Source organism: Homo sapiens, chromosome 1, assembly GCF_000001405.40.
Source record: "Homo sapiens chromosome 1, GRCh38.p14 Primary Assembly".
Classification (NCBI taxonomy): domain Eukaryota; kingdom Metazoa; phylum Chordata; class Mammalia; order Primates; family Hominidae; genus Homo; species Homo sapiens.
The window spans coordinates 158620644-158647364 of record NC_000001.11 but is presented as its reverse complement, the minus strand read 5'-3'; the positions used below and the strand labels follow the sequence as shown (position 1 = coordinate 158647364).

The 26721-nt window shown below is 37.4% G+C and overlaps 1 protein-coding gene across 8 annotated transcripts in view; it reads left to right on the top strand.

Moving 5' to 3' along the window:
- SPTA1 (spectrin alpha, erythrocytic 1) overlaps positions 1-26721 on the top strand; it is a 76012-nt gene that overhangs the window by 39351 nt on the left and 9940 nt on the right. For 4 of the 8 annotated variants that reach the window (XM_011509916.3, XM_047428883.1, XM_011509917.4 and 1 more), the window contains 16 exons: positions 1771-1870; positions 1980-2177; positions 2969-3112; positions 3940-4043; positions 4389-4551; positions 4823-4954; positions 7358-7495; positions 7679-7783; positions 9124-9332; positions 10604-10724; positions 11331-11452; positions 12690-12822; positions 19642-19740; positions 20358-20526; positions 21143-21219; positions 24173-24382. In XM_011509916.3, coding sequence (XP_011508218.1) covers positions 1771-1870; positions 1980-2177; positions 2969-3112; positions 3940-4043; positions 4389-4551; positions 4823-4954; positions 7358-7495; positions 7679-7783; positions 9124-9332; positions 10604-10724; positions 11331-11452; positions 12690-12822; positions 19642-19740; positions 20358-20526; positions 21143-21219; positions 24173-24382 — 2224 coding nt within the window. Of the gene's footprint in view, positions 1-1770; positions 1871-1979; positions 2178-2968; positions 3113-3869; positions 4044-4388; positions 4552-4822; positions 4955-7357; positions 7496-7678; positions 7784-9123; positions 9333-10603; positions 10725-11330; positions 11453-12689; positions 12823-19641; positions 19741-20357; positions 20527-21142; positions 21220-24172; positions 24401-26721 lie in introns of those variants that run through there. The other 4 variants (XM_011509918.4, XR_921911.4, XM_011509919.4 and 1 more) reach the window with 4 other exon arrangements.

The window sequence follows — 26721 nt, the reverse complement described above, 5'->3', positions numbered from 1 at the left end:
TTGAAAGAATATGAAGCCATGTAGGCCAATTAAGTAAGCTTCTATAATGTAGAAGCTTTTTTGTTCTACTGAAGAGACAGTAGTATTCAGTCTTCTACTGTATTCAGTATTCTGTTGAATACAAATAACTATGGTAGAACATAATGAGGCCGAAAACACACATTGTAACAAACAGCAGTGGGAATTCAGAGTTGGGTAGAATAGATGATGCACTGTAGATAAAGTAACATTTTATTACACCTTATCAGTCAAACTTTTAACAGAAGAGAAAACAATTCATGTAGACTGAACTGTGCAAAAAAAGACATAATCATGAGAAAAGAATAAGCATAAGAACATGTTTGGGGAGGGGGTGGTAAGGAGAAGTAGTAAGAGATAAACTTAAAAATAATATTGGGACCAAATTCCAGAGAACTGTGAATATCTTACTAAAGTCTAGACATTATCACAATCCAAAATTCACCTCTCAAACATATACTTTGTGGAACAGTTCCCACGTTTGGCTCTATCGCATCAGTCAGCTGAGAGGAGCATTAGAGTAGAGGGTCCAGGAAGTTGTAGCTCTCAATGCAATGCTTTTCAAGAAAAAAGGAGGCAAATTTTGGCAAATGACTGTAGTTCCTCTTGGAAATCCCCTCCCCAGTTCAGCACTGGAAAGCTATAGTTTTTGACACAGTTTAAATAAATAGCACCCACACCCATTCCAATGGTGCTTCCTTCCCTTTATGAAGCTGTACTCCTCAGTATTTCAGAGTAGTGTTCCCACCCCTGAGCAACATTAACATCTTATTTTACTCCATATGATACTTTTGCTTTCAGTTTTGTTTTTTAATTGCTATTAGTGCCTATGCTCTGTTTTTTGTTTGTTTTTTGTTTTGTTTTGTTTTGTTTTTATCCATTCTTAACCTAAAGTATGAGTTCCTAGAAGGCACAGATATGCCTTTTTCACAATGTTTGGTACTTAGTAAGCACCCAATAAAACTTAGTTGCTTGAATAAATAAATTTACAAAAGAAGAGACCTCTCTTTCCTAGAGCTAAGGGTTCCTGTTGAGCAAACAAGAGTAATGACATTCTTTATGAGATGCTTAATTTATACACCATATATGCTTTAAAGTTAATGCATAGTTAAAATTTGCCTTTTAAGAAGATAGACCTTAGTTTTGCTCGTCTAACTTCCTGACTACTAAAAGGGTAGGGAAATAGACCTTGATTTAATCAACAGTGTGGAGGCCTGTGTGTGTATGTGTATGTTGGCCAAAATATGTGCTAGATTCACTTGAGAATAAAAGTAAGAGGAAAGACATGATTTCTTTGAGACTCTGTAATAAGATGTATCTTCAAACCCTAGAAACCACTTAAAAGGAACAGTAACCAACAGAAGTAATGAAATATATAACAGTCCAGGATTCCAGAGGTCTAGGTTTTATTGAAGATGTCTGCTTTTAGTTATACCACATAGGCAGATTAATTACCTTTTCTAAGGTGACTTCTTTATCTCCATAATGAAAACAAAAAATTCCCGGAATCTCTGCAGGATTACTGCAAGAATTGAAAAAGATAATAAAAGTGAAGAGGCTTTCAAATACAAGGGATTGTTATCATTAGGTGATATAATAAAAACAGCAAACGTAAGATCTGTAAAGCATATAAAGCCAGATAAAAAATGTTATTCTGGAAATGTTTTCTAGAGAATGGAAAACTGTAGGACAAACAGCACTGTAGCAAGTTGCAAGGTTTTCTTGTCAATTCCAATGTGTCTGTTTATCTAGGGATCTGCAGAACTGGATCAGTAGCATTGGTGGCATGGTATCATCACAGGAGCTGGCCGAAGACTTAACTGGCATAGAGATCTTGCTGGAGAGACATCAGGTAAAACTACAAAAGTCACAGCCACTGATCACTTGACCTGAAACCTCTACTAATTTTAAAATTTCCAATGGAGTTGGCCTCACTGATTTCTTCCCCCTTTTTCCCACAGGAGCACCGTGCTGACATGGAGGCAGAGGCTCCCACCTTCCAGGCCTTAGAGGACTTCAGTGCAGAACTTATCGACAGTGGGCACCATGCTAGCCCTGAAATTGAAAAAAAGCTTCAAGCTGTCAAGCTAGAGAGAGATGATTTGGAGAAGGCTTGGGAAAAACGCAAGAAGATCCTAGACCAGTGCCTGGAGTTGCAGGTACAGCAAATTTCCCAATTGTTAAGCAGGTTCAGTAGTCTGTTTCTCCTATGCAATTTCATATGGTCATTACAGGCTCCGTTCACTAGACTTTCCACGTTATAAACACAAAGGGAGCTCATCTCTTAATTACCTAGCATTGTACTATGCTTTCTATACCGATCATTGTCATATTCTCTGCTCTTTCTTGTTAGAAGAGCCAAACAAGATGGTGATCAGTCCTGAGCATGAGGTGGGTTGACTATCATTTGTTGATTGACTGAGGAATTGATTGGCTGATTTTTGTTGAGACTCTACTCTGTGGAGGCTCGGAGTGCCACAAAGATTAGTAAGATAGTTTCCCATTTCTTAAATAGTGAAATTAGACATATAGATAAATTTTACTAGTACAGTGAGATGATTATTAATAAACCAAAATGTACGAGTGCTTTGAGGCTAAAAAACAAGAAGTGATTAAAGCTTTTGGGGGAAGTAAGTGGTTGTGTCACAGGCTACCCTGAAGGATAACGTTTCACAAAGTCTTAAGGAAATGACCAGCCAGTATTAACAAGGTTTAAGAAATAGGAAATAGCACCCCAGGAATTGGAGGTAGCATATACAGAAACATAAAGTGTATGTTTGGAAAAGAGGAAAAGTTCCAGTACAGCTAAGATTTGTCACATGAGTGTTTCTTGGAAGATGGTAAGTACTCCTTGCAAAACCCTTTGTGTCATGATCCTGAAAGAGGTGTAACATCATTTCCTCCACACCACATGGACTATACCATACCCCTCTCATTTGATTCCTCATAGATGTTCCAGGGGAACTGTGATCAAGTTGAGAGCTGGATGGTGGCACGTGAGAATTCCCTGAGGTCAGATGACAAAAGTTCCTTAGACAGTCTGGAGGCTTTGATGAAGAAACGGGACGATTTGGACAAAGCAATCACTGCCCAGGTAATAATGACTAGTAAAGGAATTAAAATAATAATCCGTAGTAATAATAACAGAAATCCTACACATTTGTCTGGTTTTATAATTTATAAACATTTTGATTTACTTTTTTTTTTTTTGAGATGGAGTCTCATTCTGTCACCCAGGCTGGAGTGCAGTGGTGTGATCTCGGCTGACTGCAACCTCTGCCTCCCGGGTTCAAGTGATTCTCCTACCTCAGCCTCCTGAGTAGCTGGGATTACAGACACCCACCACCATGCCCAGCTAATTTTTGTACTTTTAGCAGAAACAGGATTTCACCATGTTAGCCAGGCTGGTCTCGAACTCCTGACCTCAAGTGATCTACCTACCTCGGCCTCCCAAAGTGCTGAGATTATAGGAGTGAGCCACCGTGCCCAGCCCTGATTCTTGTTTGCTTCTTACAGAAAAACTGAGGCAGGCAGGGCAGCTTGACACTTGACATTGTTTCACCCAAGTCACAGGCAGCAAGCAGACTCTCTTACTTTAAATCCAGCATTCTAAACTCTGACTTTTAGGATTGATTAAATAGTCATTTCATCATCTCACTCAATAAAGGATTCACCCTCTACAATGGTCATGAGAAGTGTCTGTTCTTTAGGGAACTCTGTACCACACAAGTAGCCCATTATTAGATGTTTCTCCTCCTATTAAGTTGAAACCCACCTCCCTGTAAGGCATATATTATTTGACCCTGAGTATATCTTCTGAATCCACAAAGGATACCTTCATTCTTTTCTAGGAGGGAGTCTGGGATTGCACCAAGAGCCTAATCTCCAAGCATCTGGGCTCTTTCCTTTTCCTTTATTTAGGAAGGGAAGATCACTGACCTAGAACATTTTGCTGAGAGCCTCATTGCTGATGAACACTATGCCAAAGAAGAGATTGCTACGCGGCTCCAACGTGTACTAGACAGGTCAGGCCTGAGTGATTGTTTTATGTGCCAAAGGAAGATATAGCAAACTGACCTTTTTGCTAGCATTGAGATGGGGGAATACTCTGGCTTCCTGTCATTTCTAGGTGACTAAAACTATCTTGACACCTATGCAGACTTTCTGACTTAGATTTATAGAATGAAAGACATGAAAGATGAAAGATACCTTAGAAATTAACTGGCTTTAGCACTGCATTTTATAATGAAAATAATAAGACTATGTGAGAAGAAAAGAGGCATGTTGGCAAATGGGAAGATTTATGGATATGGCATCAGAGCATGGGAAGGGTGGAGGAGGGCATAGAGTGATTTGGCTCCGTCCTCTAGGTGGAAGGCTCTCAAAGCACAACTGATTGATGAGCGGACAAAGCTTGGAGACTATGCCAACCTAAAACAATTCTACCGAGACCTTGAGGAGCTGGAAGAATGGATCAGTGAGATGCTGCCCACAGCCTGTGATGAATCCTACAAAGACGCCACTAACATTCAGGCAAGTTCAAAATAGGAATCTTGGAAAATTTCACCATTCCGAGCTTGTTGGTTGGATAGTCATCACCCTTGATACTTTAACACTTTCTGACTGTTGAGGCTACCATGCCTGCTCTCAGAGACTTCAGAGTCTGATGTGGAGCAGGTTCTTCAGAAGTCACCGTCACCTCAGTTATGATAGAAATATTAGCCCTTCCTTTTAAATACAATTTACCTTATCTTGTCACCATAAATAAAAAGATAATATAATTTCTGTTTCATTTTCCCTTCAGAGGAAATACCTGAAACACCAGACCTTTGCACATGAAGTCGATGGCCGATCTGAGCAGGTGCATGGCGTCATCAACCTGGGGAACTCCCTGATTGAGTGTAGCGCTTGTGATGGCAATGAAGAGGCCATGAAGGTAAAGCTCAGGATGAGTTTTGGGCTACAAAGTCACATGAAGAGGAATCATTTACTCTTTCTTTTTTTTTAATTTATTGTATTTTTTTTAATTTTATTATTATTATACTTTAAGTTTTAGGGTACATGTGCACAATGTGCAGGTTTGTTACATATGTATACATGTGCCATGTTGGTGTGCTGCACCCATTAACTTGTCATTTAGCATTAGGTATATCTCCTAATGCTATCCCTCCCTCCTCCCCCCACCCCACAACAGTCCCTGGTGTGTGATGTTCCCATTCCTGTGTCCATGTGTTCTCATTGTTCAGTTCCCACCTATGAGTGAAAACATGCGGTGTTTGGTTTTTTGTCCTTGTGATACTTTGCTGAGAATGATGGTTTCCAGTTTCATCCATGTCCCTACAAAGGACATGAACTCATCATTTTTATGGCTGTATAGAATTCCATGGTGTATATGTGCCACATTTTCTTAATCCAGTCTACCATTGTGGGACATTTGGGTTGGTTCCAAATCTTTGCTATTGTGAATAGTGCCGCAATAAACATATGTGTGCATGTGTCTTTATAGCAGCATGATTTATAATCCTTTGGGTATATACCCAGAAATGGGAAGGCTGGGTCAAATGGTGTTTCTAGTTCTGGATCCCTGAGGAATTGCCACACTGTCTTCCCCAATGGTTGAACCAGTTTACAGTCCCACCAGCAGTGTAAAAGTGTTCCTATTTCTCCACATCCTCTCCAGCACCTGTTGTTTCCTGACTTTTTAATGATCACCATTCTAACTGGTGTGAGATGGTATCTCATTGTGGTTTTGATTTGCATTTCTCTGATGACCAGTGATGATGAGCATTTTTTCATGTGTCTTTTGGCTGCATAAATGTCTTCTTTTGAGAAGTGTCTATTCATATCCTTCACCTACTTGTTGATGGGGTTGTTTGTTTTTTTCTTGTAAATGTGTTGGAGTTCATTGTAGATTCTGGATATTAGCCCTTTGTCAGATGAGTGGATTGCAAACATTTTCTCCCATTCTGTAGGTTGCCTCTTCACTCTGATGGTAGTTTCTTTTGCTGTGCAGAAGCTCTTTAGTTTAATTAGATCCCATTTGTCAATTTTGGCTTTTGTTGCCATTGCTTTTGGTGTTTTAGACATGAAGTCCTTGCCCATGCCTATGTCCTGAATGGTATTGCCTAGGTTTTCTTCTAGGGTTTTTATGGTTTTAGGTCTAACATTTAAGTCTTTAATCCATCTTGAATTAATTTTTGTATAAGGTTTAAGGAAAGGATCCAGTTTCAGCTTTCTACATATGTCTAGCCAGTTTTCCCAGCACCATTTATTAAATAGGGAATCCTTTCCCCATTGCTTGTTTTTCTCAGGTTTGTCAAAGATCAGATGGTTGTAGATAAGCAGCATTATTTCTGAGGGCTCTGTTCTGTTCCGTTGGTCTATATCTCTGTTTTGGTACCAGTACCATGCTGTTTTGGTTACTGTAGCCTTGTAGTATAGTTTGAAGTCAGGTAGCGTGATGCCTCCAGCTTTGTTCTTTTGCCTTAGGATTGACTTGGCAATGTAGGCTCTTTTTTGGTTCCATATGAACTTTAAAGTAGTTTTTTCCAATTCTGTGAAGAAAGTCATTGGTAGCTTGATGGGAATGGCCTTGAATCTATAAATTACCTTGGGCAGTATGGCCATTGATTCTTCCTACCCATGAGCATGGAATATTCTTCCATTTGTTTGTATCCTCTTTTATTTCATTGAGCAGTGGTTTGTAGTTCTCCTTGAAGAGGTCCTTCACATCCCTTGTAAGGTGGATTCCTAGGTATTTTATTCTCTTTGAAGCAATTGTGAATGGGAGTTCACTCATGATTTGGCTCTCTGTTTGTCTGTTATTGGTGTATAAGAATGCTTGTGATTTTTACACATTGATTTTGTATCCTGAGACTTTAATGTTCCATGAGTAGAAATATAAAATATGTTCTGTGACCATATCACAGAAAAACAGTCTTCCCTCTGATTGTTGCACAAAGAAGGAGAAAAGGAGTGATGCCCAGACCTTATCACTCCCATCATACTCAGTACCTGGAACACTAAGAAAGCTTCGGCTTAATTCCAAACTCTTATCATGCTTGTTTTACATTTTCTATCCCTTCTGCCAATAGTTTTTTGGCATTTGTATGTCAGTCTCTTTACTCAACACAGGACCCTTTTTTAAACTTTCTCTTTTGTCCAACAACTCCTATTGTTTTCCCAGATTAAGTATAACTGGTTTGAAATGTATGATATTCAAGTATCAGCAAATTTTGGCTAGTTCCTGCCTTCACAGCCTTCCTACATTATTCTCTCAAGTAGTCACAGGGCCCGGGATCCTAAAGATTGTAATGACTCCTCACTCTCCTTGGGTTAGGAGCAACTGGAACAGCTGAAGGAACATTGGGATCATCTGCTTGAGAGAACAAATGACAAAGGGAAGAAGCTCAATGAGGCCAGTCGTCAACAGAGGTTCAACACAAGCATCCGGGACTTTGAGTTCTGGCTCTCAGAGGTAATTGCACCCGGAAACAGTAGAGACACAAGAGTTTAATACATACTTGTCAGACAAATGAATTTACCCATGGGCAATTTCCTTGAATTTTCCTGGGAAAAGTTTGGGGACATAGCTGCTGATCTTATTCTCCTTAAAGGCAGTTTCACCTGGCAGCTTTATTGCTTATTTCTCTATTTCCAGGCAGAGACATTGCTGGCCATGAAAGATCAGGCCAGGGACTTGGCTTCAGCAGGAAACCTACTCAAGAAGCATCAGCTATTGGAGAGAGAGATGTTGGCTCGAGAGGTAAGTAGTGTTGGCATCCCTCTCCTCTGGGCAGAATAGAAATATTTCTGGCTCTTCTCCCTCCCATGTTAGGAGACCATTTGAAAACATAGCCTTGCAAAATTGTTCTTAGTGTTCTCAACCAGCAGTCATTTTAATTAGGTAAAATTAACGGGCTGTGAAGACATTAAAACTGTCACTGATAATCAATTATCCCTAAACTATAGACTTTAAGATTCCAGAAAGTGGACCTGGGAAACTATCTTTTTTATCTTTTACTGATGCATACATATAAGCCAATTGTCTTTAAGCTATATATTTGATCTGGTATTTGAAAGAAAGTGGAAGTTTACTTTATAGAATTACAAACAAAAAATCAGATGGGGGCATGTGAAATGAAGATGAACTACACAAACACTCTGGAAATCCTGTCAAGGATTCTGGTTGCATCCTAATAGCAACCAAAAATTTGTGCTGAGAGCAGTGATAAAAATGCTGACAGTTGTTAATTTTATACTAAAGAATTTTATAATTATCATTTTACTTGATAATACAGATACACACAGAAAAGGCAGGAAGTCAAAGGCCTTGGGACTTGGTGATGTTTCCTGTGACATCACTAAGGGGCTGGGTTAGAATAGGAGTAGACACAGAAGAGATAGATGTGTTCAATGGGCAGCTAAGAATGTTGCCCATAGAGTAGTTCTTGTTGAATATTGAATCAATCAATCTGTGGCTGCCAAAGTTGGTACTGTCAAATCAATCAATCTGTGGCTATCAAAGTCAGTATAAGACAGTCTTGTATGGGAACGAATGATTGCCCGCCAAGATTTTCCTTTTTTTTTTTTTTTTTTTTTGGTACCAGCTCAAGCAATTCTCCTGCCTCAGCCTCCCAAGTAGCTGAGATTACAGGCACACGCCAGCATGCCCGGCTAATTTTTGTGTTTTTAGTACAGACAGGGTTTCACCATGTTGGCCACAGTGGTCTTGAACTCCTGACTTCTTGATCCAACCGCCTTGGCCTCTCAAAGTGCTGGGATTACAGGCATGAGCCACCGCACCTTGCTGGTTTTCTTTTTTAGTTGGGGAGAGAAGGCAAATACTGAAAATATCAGAAGGAGAAACAGGACACAGGCTAAATGTACAGTTTGAGTAATGTAGTCATGCTACCTCTATCGCTCCCACATATGGCCCTTCTCCAACCTGAACATATGCTAACATGTATAACACATAATCAAACTCCATGTCTTTAAAAGCAATCCATTTGGCCCAGTCTTTGAGCCAGACCAGCTGTTGTTAAAGTGTGGGATCTGAGTAATGCCTATACTATACTATTCACTGAGTATCCCGAGACTTTCTAGGATGCACTCAAGGACCTGAATACATTGGCTGAAGATTTGCTCTCCAGCGGGACTTTCAACGTTGATCAGATTGTGAAGAAAAAAGATAATGTCAACAAGCGTTTCCTGAATGTCCAAGAATTGGCAGCTGCACACCACGAAAAATTGAAAGAGGCCTATGCCTTGTTCCAGTTCTTCCAGGATCTAGATGATGAGGAATCCTGGATAGAGTATGTGCCACCAGCTCAAAAATGTGTGGATAATACAAGCGAGTAGATAATCCACCAAACTTGTTCCAATTTATGCTGAAATGAAATTTGTACTTGTTTCTTGAAGATAGCACTACTTCATGTTTGCCTCAGCTTAAGGTTAACATTGGTTTTATTTTTCCCAAATTCCCTTACTGGATGCAAGCCAGAGAAAGACAGGTGTGGAGGAAGTGAAGAGCAGTTAACATACATGACAGGAACAAAACTAAGAAGCCATCTGCATTTGCTCTGTAGTTCATTGAATAATATGCAATACTCACAGAGACACCTGGACATTTACACAGCTGATCAGAACCTTGTCATTCTATATCCAGTATATCTTATATGACACTGAATTGGACACTCAATAGAGAATATTACAAAGTATCTACCAAGGTTTCATTACTCATTCCATTTTTGGTTACACAGCTGGTCAGAACCTTGTCATTCTATATCCAGTATATCTTATATGACACTGAATTGGACACTCAATAGAGAATATTACAAAGTATCTACCAAGGTTTCATTACTCATTCCATTTTTGTTGTAAAATATGATTTGGAAAATCTTAGCACATTACACTATTTTGCCTACTTCCCATTTAACCTGCCTCATCACGCTTCTCTTCTACAAAGCTGCTTGATTATTATGAGTAATCAATAAATTAGAGGGAAGCACCATGCACAGGGCAACAAATAACATGTTTTAAAAACCTTTTTGGATAAGACCATAAGATAGAATAATCTTGTCCATGTAGTCTTCGACTGTACTTCGTGGTGATGCTCAAACCTTTTGCACTTGGAAGCATCCCAACTGCCATGACTCCTATGAAATCAGCTCTTTATACCCATTCTAGCTGAATTTATTATTGACATTAATAAATGAAAATAACAAAACCTGTGGAGGTCATATATAATTTTCACATTTTTTTGAAATAGGAAACATTAGTGTGTATTCTTGAGCAAAAAAGAGAAGATATACAAGTGGAGAAGCAAAGGGACTAATGGAAAGGCTGTTACAGTTGTGACTATGGTGGAGATCAGTATGTTACTTTAATTTGTATTGGCTCAGTCAGAAGTTTTGCTGCAAGCCTCTTCCACTAATTATATTTTTGGTCATTGGCACCAGGGTATTACAGAATTTACAACCACCTCCCTCACCACCAGCCACACACATAGTCATAGAAAGCTATTGCTGTAGGATGACATTAGATGTCTAGACTCCAAACTTTCTGTTTTCTTCCTTGATTTTAGGGAGAAGTTGATACGAGTGAGCTCCCAGGACTATGGGAGAGATCTTCAGGGGGTTCAGAACTTGCTGAAGAAGCACAAACGCCTAGAGGGGGAGCTGGTGGCCCATGAGCCTGCCATCCAGGTAGGAATAGAATACCAGATCTGAAAATATAGAAATCATCCTATAGCAACCCCTTGTGTTACAGATAAATAAGAGGGTGCTACAAAACGTGAAAATAGGATGTCAAGGTCAGAGAGAGTTAGTCAAAGAGTTTACAAATATTCTTTTCTCTTCCACATTTAGTCTCCTATAAGTAGAAGAGTTCTGAACAAGAACCCATGCTCTTCCCTGGAAGGAGCACTCTTAACACTCCTGGGGAATGATTGACAATTGGGATGCAGGTTGGGACATCTGGGAAAACTGTACTTGAGCCATCTGGGAAGAAGGCAACTCTGGGTCTGACTTGGCAGCAGGGTCACTCTGTGACCATGAATAGACGAAAAAGCAGATTAGGGAGAGTAGACTAGTGCAAGTACTGATATATTTGCAAATACTTGGGAAAGTTTAGCATAGCAAATCTTCTTGCAGCTTTCATCATTCTCCCTGGACTTTCAGGACCCTCACAAAGTCCCGTGGAGTTTATAAATAATCTGGAGGGTAGGATGGGCTAGATACTTTGCTCAGGGACTATGGCTAAATGGGGAGAGATTGTGGGGTAATGGAACATGTATCGGGGTTGTTCTTCAGAATGTGCTGGATATGGCAGAGAAGCTGAAAGACAAGGCTGCTGTGGGGCAAGAGGAGATCCAGTTGCGGCTGGCTCAGTTTGTTGAACACTGGGAGAAGCTCAAAGAGTTGGCCAAGGCCCGGTGAGTGGGATACAGAAGGCCCAGTTCCCTTCCTGGATTTTGGATATTGGGCAGGTGTTGGGAGGATACTTAAGTGCCTGCTCAGCATTGTCTGCTATCCCCAACTACCTATCTATCTCCTTAAGTCCCTTCTCAAATGACAAGTTTACCACAAAGCTTTCCTCCATATACCCCAGACACGATGATCACTGCCTCTGTTCTAAATCTACCTCTCCTTCTGCATTTACATGCAACTGTCTTTTACTATTGTTTTCCTACATGTGTTATCCTTCATATCAGGTTATTAGCCACACATCTGTTCTGCTTTATCTCCCAGTTTTCATATTATAATCAGCCCTTAGTAATGTAAGGACGAAGAATTATTTTTCCCTATAGCCATATAGCCAATTTGAACCACATACACAATGTATCAGTCCGTTCTCACATTGATATAAAGAACTACCCGAGACTGGGTATTTATGAAGAAAAGAAGTTTAATTCACTCATAGTTTCATAGGCTGTACAGGAAGCATGACTGGGAGGCCTCAGGAAACTTACAATCATGGCAGAATGCAAAGAAAGAAGAACATCTTAGCAAGGCAGGGAGCGGGCGGGGGCGGGGAGAGTGCTAAACACTTTTAAACCATCAGATCTTGCAAGAACTCACTCACTATCATGAAAACAGTAAGGAGAAAATCTGCTCCCATGATCCAATCACCTCCCACCAGGCCCCTCCCCTGATACATAGGGATTACAGTTCAAGATGAGATTTGGGTGGGGAAACGGAGCCAAACCATATCACACATATAGCCAAATATAACGATTTCTGTCTGTAGTTCCATTTTTCCTGGGGGGGGCTAAAAGGAAGATTCTGGCACTTCGTGGTGTCTTCATCATATACGAAAGAAGGCAGTGCTCAGAGTAGAAAGAGACATTGTGTCACTGCTGATATTCTCCAACACTGAAGTCATCATTTCCCTTTTTTTGGTTAGGGTGGGTTTCCTCCCTCCAGCAAAGTTTCTTAAGACAGTAGATGGTGCCACAAAATGAACTTCTAGAGCAGGCGTCTCCTCCATTTCACAGCAGATCTTCACCACTGAGCAGTAGGCACCTATTATACTGTGTTGAGGCCCACTTCAACTGTGGCTGCCTTGTGAGAATAAGCTGGTCTGCCTGAATGAGATTGTGCCACCCCACTGTACTCCCACTGCTTACCAGTTTGTTCTTATCCTCACTGGGGCTTGCCACCTTGTTATAGAGGACTTAAGTTGGAAGAATCCCTAGAATACTTGCAATTCATGCAGAATGCTGAGGAAGAGGAAGCTTGGATCAATGAAAAGAATGCTTTGGCTGTCCGAGGAGATTGTGGAGATACATTAGCTGCTACTCAGGTGAGGAACAGGAAGAATGAATCAATTTTCTTCTCTTCAATTTGGTTATTTTCTTGGGTAGTCAGTGTTTTTACCTGTAATATTAGGACATTTTTCTGGTGAAAGAAGATGAAGGAAATACGAATAATCCTGACAGTTTTAAATACGAAAAATTAAAGTCCAAGCATGTAAGTGACTTGCCCAAGATTACGGAACCAATCAGGCATGAAGGCAGGACTCAAATCTTAATTCCATAATCTGTGATCTGTCTGTGAGTCAAAGAAATAATGGTTAAAGACCTTTCCTTACAAGTTAGATTCCTTGCAGATTATAGATTTTGAAAGGATTCCCTTGAATTTTCATGTTACATTGATTTGGAAAAAAATCTTCTTATGTCTGGACATTGGCTGCAGTTTCAACAAAATATAATTTTAGGAAGAAGGGCTTACTGGACAAAATAGTTCCACAATTTATAGACATCCTTTTAAATGCAGGATTGGGTTTCTCTATAAAGAAATGAACAATTAATCAGTGTGATCTTGAGTTAATGTAAATTTTGACGGCTTTTGAGAGTGATTACAAAACAAGAATGTATTAGGACTTTGGAAACTGTGCCTAGTAACCCTAAAAATTGGGAATTTACCAAGAACTCTTTGTAGAAATTAATTCACTTTAATGTGATGACATAAGGAAAGGCTTAGACTTGCAAAAGATAACTTAAACCTATACAACATATAATTCAAATTATCAGCTCATCTTATTTGTAAGTCTTTTGGATCATGCATGTGCACCCCACTGCACATGTTCAAGCATTTTAAGGCTTCCTATCAAATGCTCTCAAAGGCTTCCCTTTCTTTACAACAGAACTTTTTCTTTTTTCTTTTCTTTTTTTTTTTTTTTTTCGAGACAGAGTCTCACTCTGTCTCCCAGCCTGGAGTGCAGTGGAGTGATCTTGGCTCACTGCAAGCTCTGCCTCCCGGGTTCATGCCATTCTCCTGCCTCAGCCTCCCGAGTAGCTGGGACTACAGGCGGCTGCCACCACGCCAGGCTAATTTTTTTGTATTTTTAGTAGACAAGGGGTTTCACCATGTTAGCCAGGATGGTTTCGATCTCCTGACCTCGTGATCCACCCACCTCAGCCTCCCAAAGTGCTGGGATTACAGGCATTAAAACAGAACTTTTTATTTTGAGAATTATAGATTCACATGCAGTTATAAGAAATAACACAGACAGATCTCATGTCCTTTACCAAGTTTTCTCTAATGGAAACATCCAGAAAAGCAGTATATCATAAATGGGATATTGACATTGTCAAGATTCAGTTAAGATTCAGAAGGCTAGCATCATCACAAGGATCACTGCTGTTGCTTTTTTATAGCCACCTCCTCTTCCTGCCTCTTCAAACTGTGGCAACCACTAATCTGTTCTACATTTCTATAAGTTTGTCATTTCCACGCTGCTATACAAATGAAATCATATAGTATGTAACTTTTGAAGATTGACCTTTTCACTCAGCACCATACTCTGGTGATTAATTCTGGTTATTGTGTGTAACAATAGTTCATCCCTTCTTATTTCTGAGCAGTGTCGTGGTATAAGAATATCACAGTCGAACCACTCACCTGTTGAGGGGAGTCTGGGCTGTTTCCACTTTTTGATGACTATGAGAAAAGCCACTATAAATATTCATGCACAGATTTTAATGCAAACATAAGTCTATTTCTCTGGGATAAATGTACAGGACCCCAATCACTGAACCATATAGTAACTGCCTATTTAGTTTTGGACCAAAAAAAAAAAAAAAGCCAAATTCCTTTCCTGTTTGTATGGCTATATCATTTTGCACTCTTAACAACAATGCATAAATGATGCAGTTTGCAGTTTCCCTATATCCCTGCTAGCATTCTGTGTTGTCACTACTTTTATTTTAGTCATTCACATAGATATATAGTGATACCTCATTGTAGCTCATATGTGCATTTCCTTAATGGATAATGATGTTTTACATTTTTTGTCATGTGTTTATTTGACATCTGTATTTTTCCTCAGTGAAATGTCTCTCTATTTTCTAATTGAATTGTTAGTTTGTTCATTTTGATTTGTTTTATTGTGACAAAAACACTGAACATGAGATCTACTCTCTTAATACATTTATACGTGTATAACATATTATTGTTGACTATAGGTACAATGTTGTAGGCTGTATAGAAATGCTCTTGAGCGTTTTCATCTTGCTTGACTGTAATTTATGCCTTATGGTTAGTAAAACTTCAATTTTTTTCTCAGCCTCTGGTAATTAACATTCCACTCTTTGATTTTATAAATTTGTCTACCTCATATAGGTGGAATCATGTAGCATGTATCTTTCTATAACTGGCTTATTTTGCTTAGCGTAATGTCCTCAAGGTTCATCTATGTTGTTAAATGTTGCATAACTTTCTTATTTTTTAAGAATAAATGGTATTTTATTGAATGAATATACCACATTTTTTTCATTCATTCATCTGTTGATGGACATTTAGGTTGTGTCCATATCTTGGCTATTGTTAATAATGCTGCAATGAACATATGGATGCTAATATCTTATTGAAATCATTATTTCCTTATCCTTTTGGATAAATACCCAGAAATAGAATTGCTGGACGATAGGTAGTTTTATTTTAAATGTTTCAAGAATATTCATGTTGTTTTCCATAACAGCTGTGCCATTTTGCATTCCCACTAAGAATGTGAAAGGGCTTCAATTTCTGCATATCTTCACTAACACTGGCCTTTTATGTTTTGTTAATAGCCATCCTGACAGGTGTGAAGTGATATCTCATTATGGTTTAATTTGCATTTTCCTAATGGTTAATAATGTGAAGCATCTTTTCATATACCTGAGGGGCATTTACATGCCTTTTTAGGGAAATTTCTATTAAACTTCTTAGCTCATTTTTATTATTTTTAAATTTATTTATTTCAATACTTTTTTAGGTACAGGTGGTTTTGGTTATATGGATAAGTTCTTTAGTGGTGATATCTAAATTTCTGGTACACCTATCACCCGAGCAGTGTGCACTATATCCAATATGTAGTCTTTTATCCCTGACCCCTTTCCCACCCTTTCCCTCAAGTCCTCTAAGTCCATTGTATCATTTTAATGCCTTTTAATCCTCATAGCTTAGCTCCTATTTATAAGTGAGAACGTAAGACATTTGGTTTTCCATTCCTGAGTTACTTCACTTAGAGTGGCCCCCCAACTCCATCCAGGTCGCTGCAAACGCCATTATTTTGTTTTGTTTCATGGCTGAGTACTATTCCATGATGTATATATACCACATTTTCTTTATCTACTCATTAATTGGGCAATAAGTTGGTTGGTTATTTTTGCAATTGCAAATTGTACTGCTATAAACACAAGTATGCATGTGTCTTTTTCATAAATGACTTCTTTTCCTTTGGGTAGATACCCAGTAGTGGGATTACTGAATTGAGTGGTAGTTCTTTAAGGAATCTCCATACTGTTTTTTATAGTGGTTGTACTAGTTTACATTTTCACCAGCAGTGTAAGAGTGTCCCGTTTACCACATCCACACCGATATCTATTATTTTTTGACTTTTTAATATGGCCATTCTTTCAGGAGTAAGGTGATACCTCATTGTGGTTTTAATTTGCACGTCCCTGATAATTAGTGATATTGAACATTTTTTCATGTTTGTTTTTAGCCCATTTTTAAATCAAGTTATTAGGGGTTTTTTACTTTTATTTTTATTTTTTATTTACTTTTTAGTATTGAGTTATATTAGTTCCTTATATATTTTAGAGATTAACCCCTTATTAGGGAAATCATTTATAAGTATTAACTCTCATTCAGTGGGCTGCCTTTTCACTCTGTTGATTGTTTCCTTTGCTGTGCAGAAGTTTTAGCTTTATATACTCCCATTTGTTTATTTTTTCTTTTTGTTGCCTGTGCTTTTAGTGTCATATTTATGTAATCATTGCCAAGACCAGTATCATGAAGATTTTACCCTACCTTTTCTTTCAGGAGTTCTATAGTTTCAAGACTTACATTTAAGTCTTTAAACAATTTTGAGTTGATTCTTGGGTATGGCATAAGGGTCTTATTTCATTATTCTGCAAGTGAAAAGCAGTTTTCCCAGCACTATTTGTTAAAGAAGCTGTCTATTCTCCATTGTATATTTTTGGCACCCTTGTCAAAGACCAGTTAACTACATATACATGGGTTTATTTCTGGACTCTCTATTCTGTTTCATTCATCTATGTCTGTTTTTATGCCAGTACCATACTCTTAATTATTGTAGCTTTTTACTGTATTTTAAAATCAGGAAGTGTGATTCCTTCAGCTTTGTTCTTCTTTGTCAATATTGATTTGACTATTTGTGGTCTTTTCTGATTCCATATAAATTTTAGAATTGATTTTTCTATTTCTGTAAAAAATGTCATTGGGATTTTAATAGGGATTTCATTGACCTTGTACATCACTTTGGGTAGTATTCACATTTTAACAATATTAAATCTTCTAATCCATGAACACAGAATATTTTTCCATTTGTTTGTGGCTTCTTTAATTTCTTTTATCAATGTTTTGTAGTTTTCAGTGTATGAGCTTTTCACCTCCTTGGTTACATTTATTTTTATATATTTTATTATTTTTGATGTGATTGTAAAAGGAATTATTTTCTTAATTTCTTTTTCAGATAGTTTATTGTTTACAATTTCTAAACCGACTTTTATGTTTTGAGTTTTATTCTGTAACTTTGCTGATTGGTTTACTAGTTCTAACAGTTTTTTATGGAGTGTTCAGAGTTCTCTGTATTTAAGATTATGTCACTTGCAAACAAAGAAAATTTTACTTCTTCCTTTCTTATTTAGATGCCTTTTACTAGGACTTCCAGTACTATCTTAAATAGAAATAGTGAGAGCGATTATCTTTGCCTTGTTCATAAACTTAAAGGAAAAGCTTTTAGTTTCACCATTAAATATGATGTTAGCTGTGGGCTTTTCATACATGTACTTTATCACGTTGAAGCAATATCCCTCTGTTCTTAGTTTGTTGATGGTTTTTATCATGAAAGAGTGCTGAATTCTGTCCATTTTTTTTCAGAATCTATTGAGATGATGATTTAGTTCTATCTTTTTTTGTGTCAATGTGTTGTATCACATTTATTGATCTGCATATGTTGAACCATCCTTGCATCCCAGGGATAAATTCTGCTTGTTTGTGGTATATAATCATTTTAATGTGCTGCTGGATTCAACATGCTAGTATTTTGTTGAGGAGTTTTGCATCTATATTCAATAAGAATATTAAGGATATTAGGCCCTCTATATTCAGATAGATAGATAGATAGATAGATAGATAGATAGATAGAGATATATTTTGTCTCTCTTGATAGACATATCTATCTATCTATCTATCTATCATCTATCTATCTATCTATTGAGAGAATTATCGCCTGGCTTTGGTGTCAGGGTAATGCTGACTTTGCGAAGGTGTTTAGAAATGTTCCCTCCTCTTAAATTTTTTGAAACAGTTTGAGAATAATTGGTATTAATTATTTAAATATTTGATTTAATTCATCAGTGAAGCCATCTGGTCTTGGGATTTTCTTTGTTGAGAGGTTTATTTCTGATTCAGTCTCCACAGTAGTTATAGGTCTGTTTGGACTTTCTTCATGATTTGGTCTTTGCAAGTTGTCTGTTTCTAGGAATTTATCTATTTTCTCTAGATATTCTAGTTTATTGGCATATAATTATTTGTAATCTTTTCTTGTGATCTCTTTTATTTCTTTGACAACAGTTCTAATGTTTCTTCTTTTATTTTTGAATTTATTATTTGAAAATAGAAGGCGAAGGTGAAGATGTTAAAGATACTTTATTTCATGCAGTATACATATATAAAAATATGATTCATTCAGGCTTTCAGTCATACAAAGTCAATCACCTTTCCAATATTCATTTACCGTTTCTTCAAAAAATAAAATGTAATACAGTCATAATATATAATGTAGTCCATCTTGTTTTACAATGAGTAACCATCTTATTTTAGTGCCTCAACACCATGAACTGAAAGTCCTTTTATTTTCAATAGGGATTTTGAAAAAGTATAATAGTCATAGAAATTCTCTTTCTTCCTTTAACCTGACTTACTATGTTGTATAGGAAAAAAATTGACAGAGTGCTTTTATGACAAGAGGGAGGTGAAGGCAGTAGTGGGAGCAGTGGCAGTGGTGGGTGGTCATGGTGGTGGTGATTATGGGCTTTTATAGATATTTCTCTGGAAGGTACAACAGAAGACAAAGTACCACTCTTCATGCTTCAGCCTCACTTCTCTTTTCATTCTGCCAGCTACACAGACATCATGTTTCCAGAAAGCAGTCAGAGAACTATTGGAGTAATCGTCAGTGGCAGCTCCATGTTCCCCTTAACTTCTCTTTAGGATCAGGGCTTAGTTTAGGATGTTCTTGATACTAAATTTTTTTCTGCTAGACACATTGTTTCATTGAATTAGATAAATCTCAATATGGAGGAATCTTTATATACGACCCCAGTCAAAACCCTCATTCCAAAATCAAAATAAGATTAGTCACATAATAAATTAGAAAGAATGTCACTTGTATATCTTTGACTCTTTTTTCCAGTAAGTTGCACTCAGTGACAAGTGAGAATTTGAGAAAGCAATTGAGTATAGTTATTCCAGAAAAAGTGGGCATTCACCTAGTCTGCCAATTTCATTGAATCAACCCTAGGGAATAATAGACCCGTGAGTCTGAATATGAGTGAATATAGATTTTCCGGCTTTGGATATCTTAATTCTCACCGACTTATTTATGCAGAGCTTGCTAATGAAGCATGAAGCTTTGGAAAATGACTTTGCTGTCCATGAGACCCGAGTACAAAATGTGTGTGCACAAGGAGAAGACATCCTAAATAAGGTGAGCTAGTTCAGGAATTCCAGCTCAAACTTCCATTCTCCAAAAGGGACTGGCCCAAATGTAGAAATGCTAAGATCATATGCAGAGAGCAGTGCTAAGATCATATGCAGAACTTTAACAATCTCTTCTAAACTGCCTTTTGTTGTTGTTGTGGTTAGCAAATAATTATCTACTCAATTGCTGTAATTCTTTTTTCAAGTTCTTATACATACACATTTCAGTTTTCCTTAAATCCTTTGTTGACATCTTGTTGTCCTATACAGAGCATGGTGTTTATAAAAGTCTTATCACTAGCTTTGGCCATAGAATATTATAAGAATTTGAAGAAATTGCTTTCTAAGCCTCTAAGAGGAAAACAACACTGAAAGCTCTTTTAAATTTGAGAATCATTCCTTTTTTTAAATGTAGTTTTTAATAAATCCTCATTGATCTAACTGCTATATAAAGACCATTAAACAGAGATGACTCCCTACCTCCTAGAAACTTACACAAACTAAGACGGTCACACTTGGTTATATATTTGAAATGGGAGAGATGAGTGCTTTCTATTGGTACTAATGGATTCACATTTCCAGCCCTGCACATTATAAATATATTTGTCTCTCCCCTTCTCACAGGTGTTGCAGGAGGAAAGTCAGAACAAAGAGATTTCTTCCAAGATAGAGGCTCTGAATGAAAAGACCCCTTCTCTGGCTAAGGCAATAGCTGCTTGGAAGTTGCAATTGGAAGACGATTATGCCTTTCAGGAATTCAACTGGAAGGCTGATGTGGTAGAGGCTTGGATAGGTATGATGTGTCAGGTTCAGGGTCCCTTGGGTTTGAGAAACCCTAATAAATCCCATCCATGTGTAGAATGGTCTCTGGGACTTTTACTGTATGAAAGGAGGTGTTTCCATCACTACCCATTCCTATCCTTTCTGGACAGAATTACACTCACATTTGCACACACATACACACACACATAAACACACACACACAAAGTGAGAAAGAGATAGAAATGATGATGCAGTAATTATGTACCGTAACTCCAGAGAACACATTTTTGGAGAATTGGAGATTTTGTGTGTGACATTGAGAAAGGGAAAGCCATAGCAAAATGTTCTAAGAAACAATCTAAAATGTTTGTTAGATTTACTTACAATTCATATCTAATCTACAATTTCTCTTTTTTTTTCTATGAAGTACTCAAAAGCTCTCAAGACCCTAGCTCTGTTTCGTTAAGTTTTATCCTGCCTAGGTAGAAAAACGATCCATTGGTCCCACTGCTCACATATTCCAATTAATCATCAACTTTGAGAGTCAAGAAGCTTTCTTGTTGTGTGTTGTAAATATTCCTTTTCTGCTTCCCAGGACTCAAACAAGACCAAATGTCTTTCTCTTCTTAATTGTTTTTGCCTTTTAGCTGATAAGGAAACAAGCCTAAAGACCAATGGCAATGGTGCAGACCTTGGTGACTTCCTCACTCTTCTGGCAAAACAGGTGAGATTGATAGATGTTAGGTAAGCCCAAGACCTGATTCACACAGAAGCTCATCCTCCATGATTATTTATTTCTGAATTTTGGGATTTTATTGTCTGTAGCCTCTGTAAGATTTTCCCTTCTTAATATTAATAATTTCCTAATTATTATTTTTTCCCTCTCTCTCATGAATCTTGCTACTGGGTTTTCATCAATTTTTTTTTAGACAACCAACATTCAGCTTTTTAATTTTTCTCTGGGTTTTTGTGTATTCTATTCCATTAAAAGCTTTATATATTATTATCTTTTTTTACTTTATTTGGAATTACTTTAATGTTTTCTTTTAATTTCTTGAGATGTACAATTAGATTATCAAAATTTTAGCCTTTCATCTTTTCTAACATATCGATTTTAAATATATAATTTTTCCCAAAGCAAAGCTTTAGCTGCATTTTGCAAATTTTGTCATTTCTTTTATCATTCAGTTAATTTTTTTTGAAATTTCTTATTTGGTTTATTCTATTATCTTTTTATTATTTGGTAGTGTATTATTTAATTTCAAATATTTGGGACTTTTCTCATTATCTTTTTGATATTTATATCTAGTTTAATTCCACTGTATTTTAAAAATATATTCTATATTTTTCAGAAACTTGATTTATATCCAGCAACAGTCTATTTTATTGTATATTGTATGTACATTTGAAAAGAATGTGTATTTTGCAGTGGTTTATATTACCAACCAGATTTTCATTTTTAATCATGTTGTTTAAATACTTCATTATTTTTATAAATTTTGAGGATAGGCTAAAAGATGTGTTGACATTTCGAATTGTGAAATCATCTTGACAGACTGATACTTTTAATTATAAAATGTTCCTCTTTATCTTGAATTACATTTCTTGATTTAAAGTGTACTTTTTCAGATACCAGTATACTGCACCAACATTTTTTTAGTATCTGCAGAAATATCTATTTCCACTTTTTAGGGTTTTTTGAAACATTTTTATCTCCATATTTTGTATGTGCCTTTTGTAAATATTGTATAGTTGGGTATTACTTTATCTAATTTGATAATTTTATGGAAAAAGTGAGTCTGTTTACATTTAAAGTATTATAATTAACTCATGAACTTTGGTTTAAAGCTATAACAACACCCTCTGCCATCCAACCCCTACTTTTTGGTCAGGGATTGAAATGATCCAGGACAAAATTTCAATTTCTTTGAAGACTCACCTTTTTCACTTTGCCTCTGTGGCCTTTCAGGCATTTCAATGGAAGCCCTTTAACCAGGGCTGCTCCTACCTGATGGGTCCTGAAGTCAGCATTGTGTCACTACTGAAAATTCTAGTTAGGATTTTACATTTTTAGCTACCATTTCTGCTTGGCTTCTAGACTTGTGCCCTATACAGTTTTGGCATCTAAAATGCTTTGAGGGGAAAATACAATATTGACTACTTTTCTGCAGTTTCCTTATTATAGCCCCTCAAATCCTGGCTGACAGTTACCCATTATGCCAAGTTATGTCTCTTTAGCTCCATGAGATTGTCTGTAAAATCAAAAACAAGTTAGTTACTTCCTAAATACAATGAGAGTACAGGCTTTGGGTAAATATACTAATTCCAAATGGGATAAATTGGCCAAAACAAAGGGCTACAGGCCTCATACAAGTCTGAAATCCAACAGGACAGTCATTAAACCTTAAAGTTCCAAAATGATCTCTTTTGACTCCATGTCCCACATCCAGGGCACACTGATGCAAGGGGTGGGCTCCCATGGCCTTGGGCAGTTCCACCCCTGTGGCTTTGCAGGGTACAGCCTCCCTCCTAGGTGCTTTCATGGGCTGGCATTGATTGTCTACAGCTTTTCCAGGTCCATGTTGCAAGCTGTTGGTGGATCTACCATTCTGGAGTCTGGAGGACACTAGGCAGTACCCCAGTGAGGGCTCTGTCAGGGGCGGGTGTTCCAATCCCACATTTCCCTTCTGTGCTGCCTTAGCAGAGGTTCTCCATGAGGACTCTGCCCCTGCAGTAGACTTCTACCCCTGCAGTATGTAGGTGTTTCCATACATCCTCTGAAATCTACAAAGCTCCCAAACCTCAATTCTTGACTTCTGTGTACATGGAGGCTCAATGCCACATGGAAGCTGCCAAGTCTTGGGGCTTGCACCCTCTGAAGCCATGATCTGAGTTGCACCTTGGCCCCTTTTGGCTACAGCTAGAACAGCTGAATGCAGAGCACCAAGTCACTAGGCTACACAAATCAGGGAGCCCTGGGCCCAGCCCAGGAACCCCTACCTGTTACCCGGTTCCAAAGTCACTTCCACATTTTCAGGTATCTTTATAGTAGCACTCCAGTCTCTGCTGTACCAATGTACTGTATTAGTCTGTTCTCACACTGCTAATAAAGACATACCCAAGACTGGGTAATTTATAAAGAATAGAGGTTTAATTGACGTATTTTAGCATGGCTGGGGAGGCCTAAAGAAACTTATAATCATGGCGGAAGGGGAAACAAACACATCCTTCTTCATAAGGCAGCAGAAAGAAGTGCTGCACAAAAGGGGGAAAAGCCCCTTATAAAACCATCAGATCTTGTGAGAACTCACTCACTATCACAAGAACAGCATGAGAGTAACTGCCCACATGATTCAGTTACCTCCCACTGGCTCCCTCCCATGACACATGGGGACTATGGGAACTACAATTCAACTTGAGATTTGGGTGGGGACACAGTCAAACCAAACCATATCAATTAATTTTATACCTAACATAAAATCTAATTGTAAAATATACATAAACTGGAGCTTTCAGCCCCAAATGTTTGCTTACATCTCTAAGTTATATTTCCTTTTTCTTAATCATCATCTTAATTCTTGCCTAGCCTTATCTATGATTAAAATCTGGTGGAACCCAGATGTGAATGACCCTTGCACCATTTTCTTGTTCACGGCCTCTCTCCTGATCTTTCTCAGGACACTCTGGATGCCAGTCTGCAGAGTTTCCAGCAAGAGAGACTTCCCGAGATCACTGACCTGAAGGACAAACTGATTTCTGCTCAACACAACCAGTCTAAAGCCATTGAAGAGCGTTATGCCGCTCTGCTGAAGCGCTGGGAACAGTTGCTGGAAGCCTCGGCAGTCCACAGACAGAAATTGCTGGAGAAACAGCTGCCTCTACAGAAGGTTTAAAAAAATTATGAGGCATGATCAGTTCTCTGTTACCTGTATATTAGCCATGAAATTCGGAAACAGATATTGGAAACTCAGTTTGGATAATACAAAAACCTTTTATTGCATTGAAAGATGTTGGGAAGACATTCTTACTGAGCAAAAAGTAGATTGAAAAGAAGCTTTAAAAATTTTTTTTAGATTGATTGATTAGTTGCATAACTAACTTGAGATGGAAGCCAGGCAAACAGTGGAAGAGGTGGATGGAACAAGAGGATGGGAGGTCTTTGTGTATGATAGAATTAAAACTGTCAGGCAAAAGTCAAGGTTGTCCCTGTACTTTTCCTAACCCAAATAAAAGGAGCACTGGACAAGTTGTCATAAAACATGTTCTCACCTTATATCAAGCTTTCCTAGGTTGAAGACCTTGTAAAAGTCATTTAATATCTCTAAACCTTGATATCCCCATTTAGAAAATTGAGTAGCATCACCATTCTATTCTGCCTTTCTGTTATCACTATTAAAAAAGATAATGAATCTAAAAGTGTAATAATTCCATATTATTACATTATTACATTCATATAAATATGTATGGTTGTAATATGTGTGTATTAATAATACATAATTATATGTACATTATATGTACCTAAATATATGTACATTAATAATACATAATAAATATGTATGATTAATATGGATTAATATAATAATGTAACATTATTACATTACTACATCCATATAAAATTCCATATAAATATGTAATCAAAATATTCCTTCAAATGTTGGCTGCTAAGGCATTGGATGTTGATCATAAAAATATCAATAATGGAAGGAGGCCAGGTGCAGTGGCTCACGCCTATAATCCCAGCACTTTGGTAGGGCAAGGCAGGTGGATCACTAGATCAGAAGATCAAGATCATCCTGGCTAACACGGTGAAACACCGTCTCTACTAAAAATACAAAAAATTAGCCGGGCGTGGTGGCGGGCACCTGTAGTCCCAGCTACTCAGGAGGCTGAGGCAGGAGAACGGCGTGATCCCGGGAGATGGAGCTTGCAGTGAGCCCAGATCGCGGCCACTGTACTCCAGCCTGAGCGACAGAGCAAGACTCCATCTCAAAAAATAAATAAAAGGAAATCAGAATGGTCAGTGGAATTACTGAGCACTCCTAGACCCTAAGAATCATTGTACTTGGTAACAAATTAAGTCAAGGAGTTAGGGAATTTAGGAAATAACACATGAGTAAAAGTCAAATCAGAGTCTTAGTTAATTTCCACACTTTTGAAAAACATAGGGCCTACATCAAATAAATCTTAGGTGAAAAATTAAATCAATTAAGTGGGCAACTTTACACATATATGTGCATTCTATATAGGAAGCTCCTTCATATTTTTAATCTTCTTTTTAAAATAATTTCAAACTACAATGAGTTTTGTTTATTTTCTGATTACAAGATATTTATAAAATATTCACTCAATCTATAACATTATGAAAAAGATATTAAATACTTTATAGGTTTCTGTGTCCTTTCTGTGTAGAGGTCATGTTAATTTTCTCTGTATTGATCTATTTTGGCATATAGATTGCTGAAATGAGTACAGGGTCAGATGTAACGGTTTAATACCTTTGAAATCCTCCCTCCATTTGGGCCAGTTTTCTTCTTTTTAATTCTTGTATTTGGGAATGAAAAATTCATTTTTATGTTTGCTCAAGACAAACCTCTTTAGAAGTACTATCTGCTGACCCAAAATCTGTAATGTATTTTAAGTATAAAAGTATATTTGATCACTTGCTGTTTGAAAAAATTCATGCTTTTTCTGTCATTCAGTAATACAGAAAATTCAGAGCTATTCAGAGCACTTGGATAATGCCAGACAGTAATACAATGATACATATATTTGTGCTAAGGATACAGGTTAGAGGGTAGAAGATAAGTTTAAGCAGTGGTTTGAAAAGCTTCAGGCATAAAATGAGGCCTGAACAAGGTTTAAAAGGAAGGTAGGAAAATGACATAGCCTTGTCAAAGAGAAGTCAGCTGGGTGTGGTCTACAGAAGCTTGTAGGATAATAAGATAAAGGAGATAACAGATTTTCTTGGTTTGTTTATTCAATCATTATTTCATCCATTCATTCAATGCTTTTTTTTTTTTTTTTTTTTTCATGTTTACTACTTGCCGGGTAGAACTGGAGGATAGACTTTAGAACAAGAAATCATATAATTGAAAACTACCTTTGCTACTTTTGGAATTTTAAAACTGAAATAATTTTAGAAATAATTCGACCTCCCTCATTTGTAAATGATGAAAGACTTAAACAATTTCACACAATGAGAAAATGCCAGAACCAGGGCTCGTAC